The following is a 13,600-nucleotide window of genomic DNA, read 5'->3' as shown; positions in this document are numbered from 1 at the left end:
AAGCGCAGCTTGGTGAATGCTTAATTATAACCGTATTTCTGTCCAGAGCCCGGTGCTCAATTCTTGTTGACACTGAGATGGCTTCCCCTTCCCCTCCTTATTTTTTGTTAGCTTTTATATGAGTGGACTCCCTTCATTCACTTCCCCTGGAGAACACTTTAGACACACTCAGAAACCTTTTGGCAATGACTTGTGGAAAGGCCGTGTGACAAACTCAGAAGTTCAGTCACGGCTCCTTCTTTTAATCATGACTGCTGGCTGCTCAGGGGGCGTGTGTGTGCATGTGTGTATGCACGTGTATGTGTTGTGAGTGTGTGCACGTTTGTGTTGTATGTGCGTGTTCTGATTCTCACCATCACTTTCTCCCCAGTCTTCTTCATCCTTGAAATTAGACTCTAATGCTATTTTCCTTCTAAAGCAATAACAATAAAAATAATGGGGGATTTTGGCTAACAGTCTGCATTATTGCCTTGCATTTAGATGGGAACTTGTATTTTCATTTTAAATGTAAATAAAGCCTCTCCCTGAAGACGCATAAGCTCAGGAGTCCATTTCTGTTCTCATTGGTTCTTGGCAGTAGGGCATGGCGTGGCCCAGGCAGTGCTGGGGTGAGAATCGGCAGGTACGGCTGCCTCCTGGCTCAGGGACTTGCTGGCTCTGTGACCTTGCAGAAGTTGCTGACCTTGCTGAGAGTTCATGTCATCTCATATTGGAAGTTACGAAAGGAAGAAAGGACATTTGATCATTCATTCATTCAGGACCTATTTAACAAACACCCCTCCCATTCTTCCATTTTCTGGGGACATAAAGGTATAGGTGCTGGCATTTCATAAGGAATTTCTTGATAAGAAGGAAGACCAAACCCACAGGGAGGCTGCCTCAGAGCTCCCTGTGCTCCCCACTGGGTCCCCCCACGCCCCAGTGCCCACCCAGCCTGTGTGCTGGAGGCCCCCTGCTGTTGGTGAGCTGGAGGCTCACATCTGCTGTTGGTTCTTTGCTTGCAGAGTTGGCCCGGGAGCTGCAGTTCAGTGTGGAAGACATCAACAGGATCCGAGTGGAAAATCCCAACTCCCTGTTGGAGCAGAGTGTGGCCTTGCTGAACCTCTGGGTCATCCGTGAAGGCCAAAACGCAAACAGTCAGTACCGTCCCACTGAGGAAGCCTGTCCTAGGACCTCCTCCCCACCAAACTAGTTCTTCCTTCAAATTCCATTCATGACACTGGCCTCTGGAGTCAGTCTGTCTCTGTCTCTCTCACACACACTCACGCACCACTCGCATCAGGAGGTCTTCCAGGCAGTCCTGCCAGAAGGCATGACCAGAGAAGCTTGGCCTCAGCCTTTCTCACATCCTTGGAATAAGATAAAAATTGCAAGGCCTGGCACAGTGGCTCATGCCTGTAGTCCCCACACTTTGGGAGGCCAAGGTGGGAGGGTGGCTTGAGCCTAGGAGTTCGAGAACAGACTGTGTAACATAGTCCTTTCAAAATTAGCCAGGTGTGGTGGCACACACCTGTAGTCCCAACTACTCTGGAGGCTGAGGCAGGAGGATCACTTGAGCCTGGGAGGTCAAGGCTGAGTGAGCTACAGTTGCACTGCTGCACTCCAGCCTGGGCAACAAGCAAAATCCTGACTCTAAAAAAAATAACATAAAAATTGCATCAGGACTCCTAGATGACAACATCTGTGCAGGGTGTATGACTCATCTTTGAGGTCTTCCTGTTGAATTTCCCAAGCAAATGAGTATTGTCCTCTCAGGACACAGTCTGGGTGAGCTGGACCCCAGTCTGAACCAGTTCTCATTCTCCCAGGAGCTTCCTCCAACCTGGAGGGAGCTTTGCCTCATTCTCTTTTCAGCTCCTCCTCAACCAGTTTCCCAGACTCAAAAACACTAAGTGGAAATTGAGTGTTTACATTTGCATCTCAAATCATCTGGCAAGGACCAAGAATTTCAAAAGGACAGAATCTAATCATTCTCATCCTTATTTTCTTGTAGTGCTCCTCTTAGCTTACAAAATAATAATAAAAAAACAGTCTTTCTAGACTTTTAAATTGGCCACTGTGGTGGGCACGGTGGCTCATGCCTATAATCCCAGCACTTTGGGAGGCCAAGGCAGGTAGATCACTTGAAGTCAGGAGTTCGAGACCAGCCTGGCCAACATGGCAAAACCTTGTCTCTACTAAAAGTACAAAAATTAGCAGGGCGTGGTGGCATGCACCTGTAATCCCAGCTACTCGGGAGGCTGAGGAACGAGAATTGCTTGAGCCTGGGAGGTGGACAGTGAGCCGAGATTGCCCCATTGCACTCCAGCCTGGGTGACAGAGTGAGACCAATAAATAAAATAATTTATTTTTTTTTTGGTAACAGAGACCAATAAATAAAATAACTGCGCACTGTTAGCATTTGGAAAAGATCTGCTGAAGTGTAAAAAGTATTCTCCCCAGAGGAAGTTTGTTTTGACTCTAATAAAAGAGGGTGCCTCCACCTTCTGAAAAAAATTATCTCCTTTCTCCATCTTCATCCTGGCCCCATTTTCTGAGCCCATGTGATCCTCGCTCACCGGCCTGGAGTAACGTGCATCTCTCTTCTGCGCCCACAGTGGAGAATCTGTACACAGCCCTGCAGAGCATTGACCGTGGCGAGATCGTGAACATGCTGGAGGGTTCCGGCCGACAGAGCCGCAACTTGAAGCCAGACAGGCGGCACACCGACCGCGACTACTCGCTGTCACCCTCCCAGATGAATGGTGAGTGTCACCTGGACCAGATGGGGACTGAGCCGGAGCCCTGCCCTACAGGCATCAGCACCAATAACCCCTTCCCACAATACGTCATCCCTCAAAGCCCGCTCTGCCTCCCATTGGTGGGAGGTCTGGTTTGTCAGCAACAAGTTCCTCCTTTCCGGGGAAGCAGAGGCGAAGGAGAGAGAGATGGCTGCTCCTGTGCAGGTGGGCATCGCCTCCGCCTTAGCCTTTGCAGCCCTGCAGAATGGCCCCCAGGCCCTTGCCATCAGCAACTGCGTCCCCACAGGGCGTGGTGTATGAGAAAAAGCTGAGTCAGAGGCCTCTAGCTAGAGACTGCCCCTACACAGCTGCAGACTTTCCGGTAGCTCTTTGCAAGGCGTGGGCCCTCTTTGGGGTGTCAGTGTCCCCATCTGTAAAACAGTCAGTGGTTGGGAAGCAGAGGGCATGGAGATTCCTGGCCCAAGGTCTAGTGCAGTTTAACTGGACGGTGTTTTACAAATCCTGCTGTGGCCACTTCTAGGGACTGAGCAGTTTGCTCTTCCTGGAGCCGGGTCTCTCTGCTTTTTCCTCTCCCCCTTTTCTATCATCTCATCTCCTTCCCCTCATTCTTTGTTGATGTGACTCAGCATGGCAGGGATCCCCCGTGAGATCCAGCCCAAGGAGAGGATGTACAGGAGGCTGTGACCTCTGCCCCCAAGCCCCTGCCACTCCTGGGCCAGGCCCCCTCGCAACACCTTCCTCGCCCGCCCCCTCTCTGGCCAGCGGGCACATAAACAGCGAGGCCCCACTCTCCGGCCAGGAGGTCTGGGTTCTAGGCCCTTCCTTCCTGCCAACTCCCTGCATGACTGAGCCCTCTCCCCTTCTGTAAAATCAGCAAGTTGGATTGGATCCCTAAAATTCCTTACAGACCTTGAAACAAAATTTCCATGTCTGTGACGTGGCTTCCTCAGGTGGCTGACGCGTCACCCTGGATGCCTGCATGGTGATGTGTATGCTCCTCAAGCTCCTTGTCTTAGGGGCCATCCCCGCCACGCCCAGGCTGAGGGTGGGCACCTGTGACTGGGTACACAGTTTGGGGGCGCGGCTGAGGGCGAGTCCCAGGTGGGCCTGGGCACGGAGCCCCTACCAGGGGACCCTGCTCGCTGAGCCCTCCCTGTCCCCTGCTCTGCATCCTGTGTCTCCTGAAGTGTGCCATCTTGCATCCTGGGAGCAGGGCCCATCTGCTGATCACGTCCCATTGCCTCTCTTCTGCCTCTGACCTCATCTTGACCTCTGTGCACTCACGCTATCGTGCTGCCTGTCTCCACTGTCTCCACTGTCCCCATTTCGGCAGGCGCAGAGCCGGCCACGTCCACATGCATGTCATGGCCCCCAGCCCTGTCTCCCCACGCATCTCATGGCCATGTCCTGGGTGTACTTGTGTGTGTGCGTATGTGTGTGCATGTGTGCGTGCATGTGTGTGTGTGTGCACGTGTTCATGTGTGTGCGTGTGCATACATGTGTGTGTGTGTCCGTGGGTGTTGCTGTGTGGTGCTGCCTGCTGCGTGTGCCCGGCCCACTCCCCAGGTCCACCCCCTTGGGGATTCCAGCCTCCCCTCAGGGGACCTGGCCAGAGCTTTACAGGAGCTCAGTGGGCTGAGGGCGGTTGAGGGAAGCCACAAACCTGGGGAAATTCTAGTGACAAAGCTCCTCTCCCTTCCCATGTGTCGAGACTTCTTTGACACCCAGCGCATACTTTTGGTCAAGTCAGAGGGGCACGCTTTTGATTTCCTGTGCCCTGATTAAGCACCTACAGGACAATGGGCCACCAGAGCCACATGAGTGTGAATATTCACAGTTACAGACCTGGGCATCTGTGAGCATCTCCCCGGGCCACAGACCCCTAGCTCCCACCAGGCCTTGAGGCATTCTTGCCCGAGTGGTTCTCAATTCCTGTGTGGGACTGGGCCTGTGCACTCCATGTCTGCTGAAAGGGCTCTGCTTCAGGGGGTCAGCCCATTTGGCAAATATTTTTCAAGTATCAACCACATGCCAGGCACTGTGCTAGGCAGGAGAGAGATACCTGTTCTCAACCAGACAAAACAAAACAAAACTCTGCCTTTGTGGAGCTTTTCCCTCCTGTGAGGAGAGCCACGCGGGGAATTGTATCACACACCAGCAGTTAACGTGCATGGTGCAGGAGAAACAGACCGGAGTCGGGGCCAGGGGGACTCATGGTGCAAGGGAAGCGGGTGGCACTCGAGGACTTGCCAGAGATGAGGTGGGAGCCATGCGTCGGCACTGAGGTGGAAGATTTCAGAGCAGGGAGTGTGAAGGGGGCTTTCCTGATGCGTTCACAGGACGGGGCTGGAGGCGGGGGCAAAGGGACAGTGGGAGAGAGGGCAGGTGTGGGGGCTGGAGGGGTGACACGGAGCCCACCCATAGACTGTCATGAGGACATTGGGTTTGACTTGGAGTAAGCTGGAAAGCCATCAGAGGGTTCTGGCCAAAGAGTGGCATGATTGCCCTTAAGTCTTTGAGGGAGCCCTCTCCCGAGTAGTTGATTTCAGATGGTCACAGTCGAATGTTCTGTGCTTCCTGGCTGCTCTGTGCAGCCTCAGCAGTCCCTGACACCCTCTCTGGCAGGTCCCCGGTAGACCCAGCTCTGTGCCCCAGCAGACTCATGCACCGATGCCCTGCTTTGTCCAGAATCAGCTTCTTTATATTTTTCCTGCCTTCTTCCTTGCCCCAGAAAGTCTGGCCCTCATCTGGGTGCCCTTGTGTTCTGGAGAGAAGGTGGCAGGACAGTCAGAGGTCTAAGGGGGGTGGGGGGGCACTACAGGCTCTGCAGCTTCTCTGCTCTTCCCTGGGCAGGGCTCGTGATGGCCTGACCTGGTGCCCAACCAGCCCAATGCACTGATGCCCACAGTCGGACCTTGGCTCCTCTGTGCTTTTCCTGGTCCCTCTGCATGTCTGAGCCTCCTTCTGAGGCCCTGGGACTCTGGGTAGTGATAGGCAGCTCTGTGAGCACGACATAAGTGGGTGGTGTCCAGGAATTAGAAGCCTGAGGCTGTCTCTCCCTTCATAGCTCTGCTCACCACCAGTGCCTTAATTGGCCAGAGCAGAGGGGCTCAGGCCAAAAGGCCAGCGTGCTTCTCCCACATAGGAGAGGACGGCCCAGGCCCTGGGAATAAACATGAAGAAAGCATGGCCTATAGATCCAAAATAAAATAGCATGTTTCTGAAAATAAAACAGACTTCCCTTATGAGAGGAGAAATGATCATCTCACACCCGTGTGAGTTCCATTTGACCTGATAAATCAGACACAAACTAATGTCTACTTGGAAATAAAACTTGTTTTATTTCCCTCAATTCTTCACAACTGTGGCTAGTGAAGTGTGGCCTTGTCTAGGGTGAGGCTGTCTGATGACCCCTGTTGCCCATTTGCTGCTGACGTTAAGCTAGCAGGACGATTATTACCTCTGGGTCAGCACAGAACCAGGGCAGTGACCTGGAATGAGCAGGGACCACTTGACTGTATGCTGCCCCAAACCAATATGTGTGGCTGCCTTTTACCTGACTTCTCCAACATGTAGCCCCAAGAGGAGGCCTCTAGACTGAGGGAGGGGCTGGTGACCCAGGTGTGGTGGGGCTGCATGAGACTACCAGAGAGACAGACATTCTGGAACTCACCCTGGGGGATCCAGTGGATCTGCCTATGGTCTGGTCCACCCCAGACCTGTGAGATGTTCCTCATGAGGATGCACTTGTGCTTCTGCAAGTATTGCTGCAGCTTCATAGTGACTCCCACCAGCACCAGCAATACAGCTAGCTACCTGTGGCCTTGGATCTCAGCCAGCATGGCTGGGAGAGGGAGCAGCTGGGCATGTACCCTAAATGCTGTTACCAGGGAAGGACTCCCAGAGTGAAGACAAGTAGGGACTTCCTGCAGAGGTGGTACATGTGCTCTCTGTATCCATACTTTTTTTTTTTTTTTTTTTGAGATAGAGTTTCACCCTTGTTGCCCTGGCTGGAGTGCAATGGTGCGATCTCAGCTCACTGCAACCTCTCTGCCTCCCGGGTTCAAGTGATTCTCCTGCCTCAGCCTCTCGAGTAGCTGGGACTACAGGTGCCCGCCACCATACCCAGATAATTTTTATATTTTAGTAGAGACGGGGATCTCACCATGTTGGCCAGGCTGGTCTCAAACTCCTGACCTCAGGTGATCCACCTGCCTCAGCCTCCCTAAGTGCTGGGATTATAGGCATGAGCCACTGTGCCCGGCCCCTTACATCTTTATTTGGGTGAAATTCCACTAAAGCAAATGCCGTGGAAGTCTCAAGGTGGGAAACTCACAAAAGGAATCCATGAATGAGCCTCAAGTGTTCTGTGGCGCAAAGCTGCCCTCTCCCAGTTCTCAAGTCTCATCGCAATTCCAAGGAGTGATGGAATGTTCATCCAGCCAAATCCAAGGAGCTGTGTCAGGTGCGATGTGTGCCACTTCTGGCCAAGACAGGATAACAGGGACTGAATATACCCTCCTGCTTGAAACTACTGCAGACCAAAAAATGGACACACTATATGAGACAACAGTTTTCAAGACATTGGATATCAAATAACAAAGGACACTGATCCACAAAGCATGGGAAATAAATGAAGTGAGCCCTACAGCTGTCTAGTTTACCATTTTGAAAGTCCAGGAAGGCCGGGCGCGGTGGCTCACGCTTGTAATCCCAGCACTTTGGGAGGCCGAGGTGGGCGGATCACGAGGTCAGGAGATCGAGACCATCCTGGCTAACACGGTGAAACCCCGTCTCTACTAAAAATACAAAAAAAATTAGCCTGGCGTGATGGTGGGCGCCTGTAGTCCCAGCTACTCGGGAGGCTGAGGCAGGAGAATGGCGTGAACCCGGGAGGCGGAGCTTGCAGTGAGCCGAGATTGCGCCACTGCACTCCCGCCTGGGCCACAGAGTGAGACTCTGTCTCAAAAAAAAAAAAAAAAAAAAAAGAAAGTCCAGGAAGACCAAGACAGCTGGAGTTCTCAAGACAGAGCACCAGAGAGGAGACAGTTGCACAGATAGAACACTCTGGAGTCCCCCACAAGTTTCAGATGAGTATTAGCCAGCTATTCCCAATTGATCTCTCACGGCCTTTGTTCAGGGGACAAAGAAGGATCTCATCTCACAAATAGGGAAAAATTAACCCCCAAAGCTCCAGTCCTCCCTGATAAAATTTGAAAGCAAAATGCAAAAGGATCAAACTACTTCCAAGTAACTTAACTGCGTAACAGAACAAAGCTCAAGCATACACGGATACAAAAACATCCAGCACTCCACAAGGTAAAATTCGCAATGTCCAGCATCCAATTAAAAGTAATCAGACACACAAAGAGGCAGGAAAACAGGATCCATAATGCGGAGAAAAATCGATCCATTGAAACTGACCCAGAGTTGACAAAGATGTTAGAATTAGCAGACAAAGGACTGGGCATGGTGGCTCATGCCTGTAATCCCAGCATTTTGGGAGGCCGAGGTGGGCGGATCACCTGAGGTCAGGAGTTTGAGACCAGCCTGGCCAACATGGTGAAACCCTGTCTCTACTAAAAATACAAAAAAATTAGCTGGGTGAGGTGGCAGGCGCCTATAATCCCAGCTACTCAGGAGGCTGAGGCAGGACAATCACTTGAACTCAGGAGGCGGAGGTGGCAGTGAGCCGAGATAGTGTCATTGCATTCCAGCCTAGGCAACAAAAGCGAGACTCTGTCTCAAAACAAACAAACAAACAAAAAAAGAATTAGCAAAGATACTAAAACGGTGATTGTAACTGTATTTCAGGTATTCAAAAAAGCTAAGTAGAGACATGGAAGATATTTTTTAAAGGCCCAAGCCAATCTTCTAGAGATGAATGTGTAGGATCAATACACTGGATGGGATTAGACATTAGACACTGCAGAAGAAAAGATTAGTGAACTTGACAATACAGCAAGAGAAACTCCAAACATTTTTCTTTTCTTTCTGTTTTGGAGAAACACAAAGTGAGCTATGGGGCAATTTCAAGTGACCTAATATGTGAAATTACAGTTCCCAACAGAAAAGAAGGAAGAAAAAGTATTGTAAGAAATTTGGGGCTGGGCACAGTGGCTTATGTCTGTAACCCCAGCACTTTTGGAGGCCCAGGTGGGCGGATCACTTGAGGTCAGAAGTTCGAGACCAGCCTGGCCAACATAGTGAAACCCTGTCTCCACTAAAAAAATTACAAAAGTTAGCCAGGCATGCTGGTGCATGACTGTAGTCCCAGCTACTTGAGAGGCTGAGGCAGGAGAATCGCTTGAACCCAGGAGGTGGAGGTTGCAGTGGACCGAGATTACATTACTGCATTCCAGTCTGGGTGACAGAGTTCTCAACGCAAAAAAAAAGAAAAAGAAAAAAAAAGAAATATGGACAGAAACTTGCCAAATTTGATAAAAATCATGAAGACATAGATCCAACAAGTTTGATGAACTGCATGCACAGGAAACACGTGAGCAACTCTATCAGGGCACATTATTAGCAGACTGGTCAAAACCAGTGGTGAAGAGAAAAATCTTAAAAGCAATCAGAGGGAAAAAAATGTGTTATGTACAAGGGAACCAAAATAAGATTCACATCAGATTTCTTATTAGAAACAACACAAGCCAAGGCCAGGTGCAGTGGTTCACGCTTGTAATCCTGGCACTTTGGGAGGTCGAGGTGGGTGGATCACTTGAGATCAGGAGTTCGAGACCAGCCTGGGCAACAGGGTGAAACTCCATCTCTACAAAAAATACAAAAATTAGCCGTGTATGGTGGTGCGTGCCTGTACTTTTAGCTACTCAGAAGGCTGAGGCAGGAGAATCGCTTGAGCCCAGGAGGCAGAGGTTGCAGTGAACCAAGATTGCACCATTGCACTCCAGCCTGGGCAACGGGAGTGAAATCCTGTCTCAAAAAAAAAAAACAAAGAAAAAGGGAAAAAAAGAAACAACAGAAGCCAGAACATGGTGTGGCATCTTTAAAGTATGCCACATCTTTAAAGAAGAAAGAAATAACATCTCCAAAGTAACCTAGACTTCTATACCTAGCACACGTAACTTCAAAAATGAAAGCAAAATAAAGACTTTTCTACCTTAAGAAATTAGAAAAAGAAGAGTAAATTAAACCCAAAATCATAGAATAAAGGAAATAATAAAGATCAGAGTGGAAATCAGTGACACAGAAAGCAGAAAAACTTGGAGAAACTTAATGAAACCAAAAGCTGGTGATTTGAAAAGATCAATAACATTGATAAACCTCTAGCCAGACTGATTATGAAAAAAGAGAAGACCTGCAGATTACCAATATCAGGAATAAGGAATATATACTACCTATAGAATATCTACAGATTCTATAGGTAGTAAAAGGACAATAAAGGGATATTATGACAATTTTGTGCCAGTAAATTGGAAAACAGGTGAAATCAACAAATTCCTTGAAAGACACAAACTATCAAAGCTCACTTAGGAAGAAATAGATATAGCCCCATATAAATGAAAGACATTAAATGTATGGTTTGGAACATTCCTACAAAGAAAAGTCCATGCCCAGATGGCTTCACTGGTGAATTCTACCAAACATTTAAGGAAGAAACAACTTGTTTAGAAAATTGAAAATGAGAAAATACTTCTCAATTAAGTTTATGAGGCCAGCATTACCCTGATATTGGGAAGAAAGACAATTAACAAGAAAACTGCAAACCAATATCATTTATGAACATTTATGCAAAAAATCTAAACTGAAATGAACTTGGATTATTACCTTGTATACAAAAATCAACTCTAAATGGGTCATAGATTAAATGTAATATCTACAACTATAAAACTTCTAGAAGAAAACATAAGAAAAAAACCTTAAAGATCTTGGTTAAGGCAAAGATTTCTCAGATACAACACCAAAAGCACAATCCATAAAAGAACAAATTGACAAGTTGGGCTTCATCAAAATCAAAACTTCTGCTCTTCAAAATACACTGTTAAGAAAATGAAAAGACGAGCTACAGACTGGGAGAAAATATTGGCAAATAATCATCTGCTATAGTATTGGAATATACAAAGAACTCTCAAAACTTAATAATAAGAAAACAACTCAGTTTTTAGATTGAGCAATAGATTCGAACAGACTTTTCACCCAGAATATATACACATGGCAAATAAGCACATGAAAATATGCTCAACATCATTAGTGATTTGGGAAATACAAATTAAAACTATAAGGAGGTACCACCACATACCTAAAAGAATGGTTAAAATTAAAAAGGCTGGCCATATCAAGTGTTGGTGAGGATATGGGGGAACTGGAACTCTCATACACCACTGGTGGGAATGCAAAATGGTACAACCACTTGATCATTTCTGACAAAGTTAAACATATACCTACTGTACAATCAAGTCATTCCATTCCTAGCTATTTACCCAAGAGAAAAGAAAGCATTATGTCCATACAGACTAGCATCTTTACTTGTAATAGCCACAAACTGGAAGCAGCCCAAATGTCCATTGGCAGGTAAATAAATTTACAAACTGTGATATATCCTTCCAAAGGGCTATGGCTTAGCAACAGAAATAAATTATTGATACATGCATCAGCATGGATGAAACCCAAATTGACTACGTTGAGTGAAAGAAGCCAGGCTTTAAAGAAAGAGAGAGTGCATACTGTATGAATCCGTTTATGTAAAATCCTGGGAAATGCAAACTGATGTGTAGTGGCAAAAAGCAGATCGGGGTCACCTGGGAATGGTTTGGGGTTGGCAGAGGGGGAAAGGGCAGGGAGAGATTACAAAGAAGCTTGAGGAGACCTTTCTGGGGTGACAAATGTCCTTTTTCTTCTTTGAAGTGATGGCTTCATGGGGGTACACATGTGTCACAACGTATCAATTTACCCCCTTTTAAAGATACACATTTATTGAATGTCAAACATACCTCAACAAAGCTATTTTTAATAGAGATTAATGGCAAAGTCTATGGAAAAGACCAAACTTACTAGCTGTATGGCCTTCCGCAAGTTGCTAAACCTGTAGTTTCCTAATCTATAAAGTAGGAATTATATTATTTTCCTCATGTGGTTGTTGTGGCAATTAAAAACATGTTAGATATGTTTTGCACTAAAAATACGCTCAGTGGCCGGGCTCAGTGACTCAACCCTGTAATCCCAGCACTTTGGGAGGCTGAGGCAAGCGAATCACTTGAGGTCAGCAGTTCGAGACCAGCCTGGCCAACAGGGTGAAACCCCATCTCTACTAAAAATACAAAAATTGGCCAGGCGTCATGGCGCATACCTGTAATCCCAGCTACTCCCAGTGGAGAGGCTAAGGCAGGAGAATCACTTGAACCTAGAAGGCAGAGGTTACAGTGAACTGAGATTGCATTACTGCACTCCAGCCTGGGCAACAGAGCAAGACTCTGCTTTAAAAAACAACAAAATGCTCAGTAACTGATGTAAATAATATAAAATGCTCGCAAGAGTAATAAGAAAAATAATCATCAGTTGACCCCAAAATGTCCTGCTTTTGTATATGTGGAGGGTTTTCTATGAAGGGTTTGAAGGCCATGGCCCTGGTCAGCTATATAATTCCTCAAGTCACAGTTTCATGTACAGTGACTTGGAGTTCAGTTCATGGTAAGATGTGACCCACCCATTTCACCTACTCTTCCCACTCCTTCCTCCTTGTTCTTCCTAGTTTGGCCAGAGCTAAAAGGGGTTTCCCTCAGTCTCTGCCGCTGTGCAGCCCTTCTCCCAACCACCCCACCTTCACGGGCTCATCCTCCCCGCTCATTTGGGACCTGGAACCAAGTAGGCTTGCAGGGAAGAAAACTTCCCTGGGAGATTAAGAGAATGCATGCGGAGTACACAGCATGGCTCCGGGCACGTTGAACACACAGGTACATGTTAGCAATTGCAGTTCCACTGAATGTGCCTGAGGTCTTTCTGTTCCAGCTGCTGGGTCCTCTCACACACCTGGAGAGCTCTTCAGTGGTCATGGGGCTAGTGGAGGCCCAATCCTGTTGTAGGAAAGGGTGGGGCGAGGAAGGCAGGCATCAGCCCTGTCCTCATGGGTTTGCATTTCTGAGAACCGCCTTAGCGAGGGACCCTAGGACAGCCTCAGAGATGGGAGGGAGCAACAGGAGCTGAAGCTGGGAAAATGCCATGAGACAAGAAGCTGTCCCATCTGTGAGTGTGTGGGTGAGAGAGAGTGTGTGAGTGTGTGTGTGTGCATGTGTGTTTGGGGTTTGTCATCCCCATTCCCATAGCACAGTGCCTGGCATGTAATCGGACCTCTCTTATTTTGGTTGAACAGTGAGTGGATGAGAATAAATGGAGCTAGTGATGTAAAAGCAGGGGAGCAGGTGATCAGGAGCTGAGGCCCCGAGCGGAGGCTGAGGCCCCGAGCGGAGGCTGAGGGGGCAAGAAAGGAGCCCGCCTGGCTTGAATCAAAGCACAGCCCGGGGGCAGTTGCATGTGAGTAGGAGTGGGGGTAGGGGCTGAATGGCAGAATGGAGCATTTGAACTAGGTTTGAACTCTAGGCTGGGGGTGTCTGGACATCTCTCGATGGCAGGAAGGTCCCTAGAGACTGCAAGGGGCAGCCCTGCCCATTCCCAGGGTCCCCCTTCAGCTCTGTGGGCTTTCCAGCTGCTGTAAGCACGTACTTGCTTCCTGATTTCCTAGACAGGCCAAGCCCATTGGAGAATCTTGTCTTCTAGTCTCTTCTCCCACCCACAGAGGCACCTGCTCTGAAGGGGCATCAGAGTCCTCTTTTTCCTGTCAATGCACGGGTCATGCACTCAGGGCCTGAGCAAGCTGGCTCCCATCCCACCAGGTCGGTGCTGAC

The 13,600-nt window shown here is 48.4% G+C and overlaps 1 protein-coding gene across 5 annotated transcripts in view, besides 6 other annotated features; it reads left to right on the top strand.

Moving 5' to 3' along the window:
• Positions 1–13,600, top strand: part of ANK1 (ankyrin 1) — a 243,517-nt gene that overhangs the window by 209,454 nt on the left and 20,463 nt on the right. For all 5 annotated transcript variants that reach the window (NM_001142446.2, NM_020477.3, NM_020475.3 and 2 more), the window contains 2 exons: positions 1,005–1,136; positions 2,598–2,744. In NM_001142446.2, coding sequence (NP_001135918.1) covers positions 1,005–1,136; positions 2,598–2,744 — 279 coding nt within the window. The remainder of the gene's footprint in view (positions 1–1,004; positions 1,137–2,597; positions 2,745–13,600) is intronic.
• Positions 458–957: an enhancer, noted in NCBI's record as "H3K4me1 hESC enhancer chr8:41543849-41544348 (GRCh37/hg19 assembly coordinates)". NCBI's record gives its function as "activates a minimal SCP1, AML or CMV promoter by ChIP-STARR-seq in naive H9 embryonic stem cells {active_cell/tissue: H9 hESC(naive)}" and the evidence as "EXISTENCE:reporter gene assay evidence [ECO:0000049][PMID:30033119]".
• Positions 958–1,459: an enhancer, noted in NCBI's record as "H3K4me1 hESC enhancer chr8:41543347-41543848 (GRCh37/hg19 assembly coordinates)". NCBI's record gives its function as "activates a minimal SCP1, AML or CMV promoter by ChIP-STARR-seq in naive H9 embryonic stem cells {active_cell/tissue: H9 hESC(naive)}" and the evidence as "EXISTENCE:reporter gene assay evidence [ECO:0000049][PMID:30033119]".
• Positions 2,533–3,093: an enhancer, noted in NCBI's record as "H3K4me1 hESC enhancer chr8:41541713-41542273 (GRCh37/hg19 assembly coordinates)". NCBI's record gives its function as "activates a minimal SCP1, AML or CMV promoter by ChIP-STARR-seq in naive H9 embryonic stem cells {active_cell/tissue: H9 hESC(naive)}" and the evidence as "EXISTENCE:reporter gene assay evidence [ECO:0000049][PMID:30033119]".
• Positions 2,533–3,757: a biological region, named in NCBI's record as "BRD4-independent group 4 enhancer GRCh37_chr8:41541049-41542248".
• Positions 2,558–3,757: an enhancer, noted in NCBI's record as "BRD4-independent group 4 enhancer chr8:41541049-41542248 (GRCh37/hg19 assembly coordinates)". NCBI's record gives its function as "activates an origin of replication core promoter dependent on BRD2, P300/CBP, MED14 and CDK7 cofactors, and independent of BRD4, by STARR-seq in HCT116 cells {active_cell/tissue: HCT116}" and the evidence as "EXISTENCE:reporter gene assay evidence [ECO:0000049][PMID:35650434]".
• Positions 3,094–3,655: an enhancer, noted in NCBI's record as "H3K4me1 hESC enhancer chr8:41541151-41541712 (GRCh37/hg19 assembly coordinates)". NCBI's record gives its function as "activates a minimal SCP1, AML or CMV promoter by ChIP-STARR-seq in naive H9 embryonic stem cells {active_cell/tissue: H9 hESC(naive)}" and the evidence as "EXISTENCE:reporter gene assay evidence [ECO:0000049][PMID:30033119]".

This window comes from Homo sapiens, chromosome 8 (genome assembly GCF_000001405.40).
Source record: "Homo sapiens chromosome 8, GRCh38.p14 Primary Assembly".
Taxonomy (NCBI): domain Eukaryota; kingdom Metazoa; phylum Chordata; class Mammalia; order Primates; family Hominidae; genus Homo; species Homo sapiens.
Note: the sequence above shows the minus strand (reverse complement) of the source record. Positions and strands in the feature narration are given on the sequence as shown.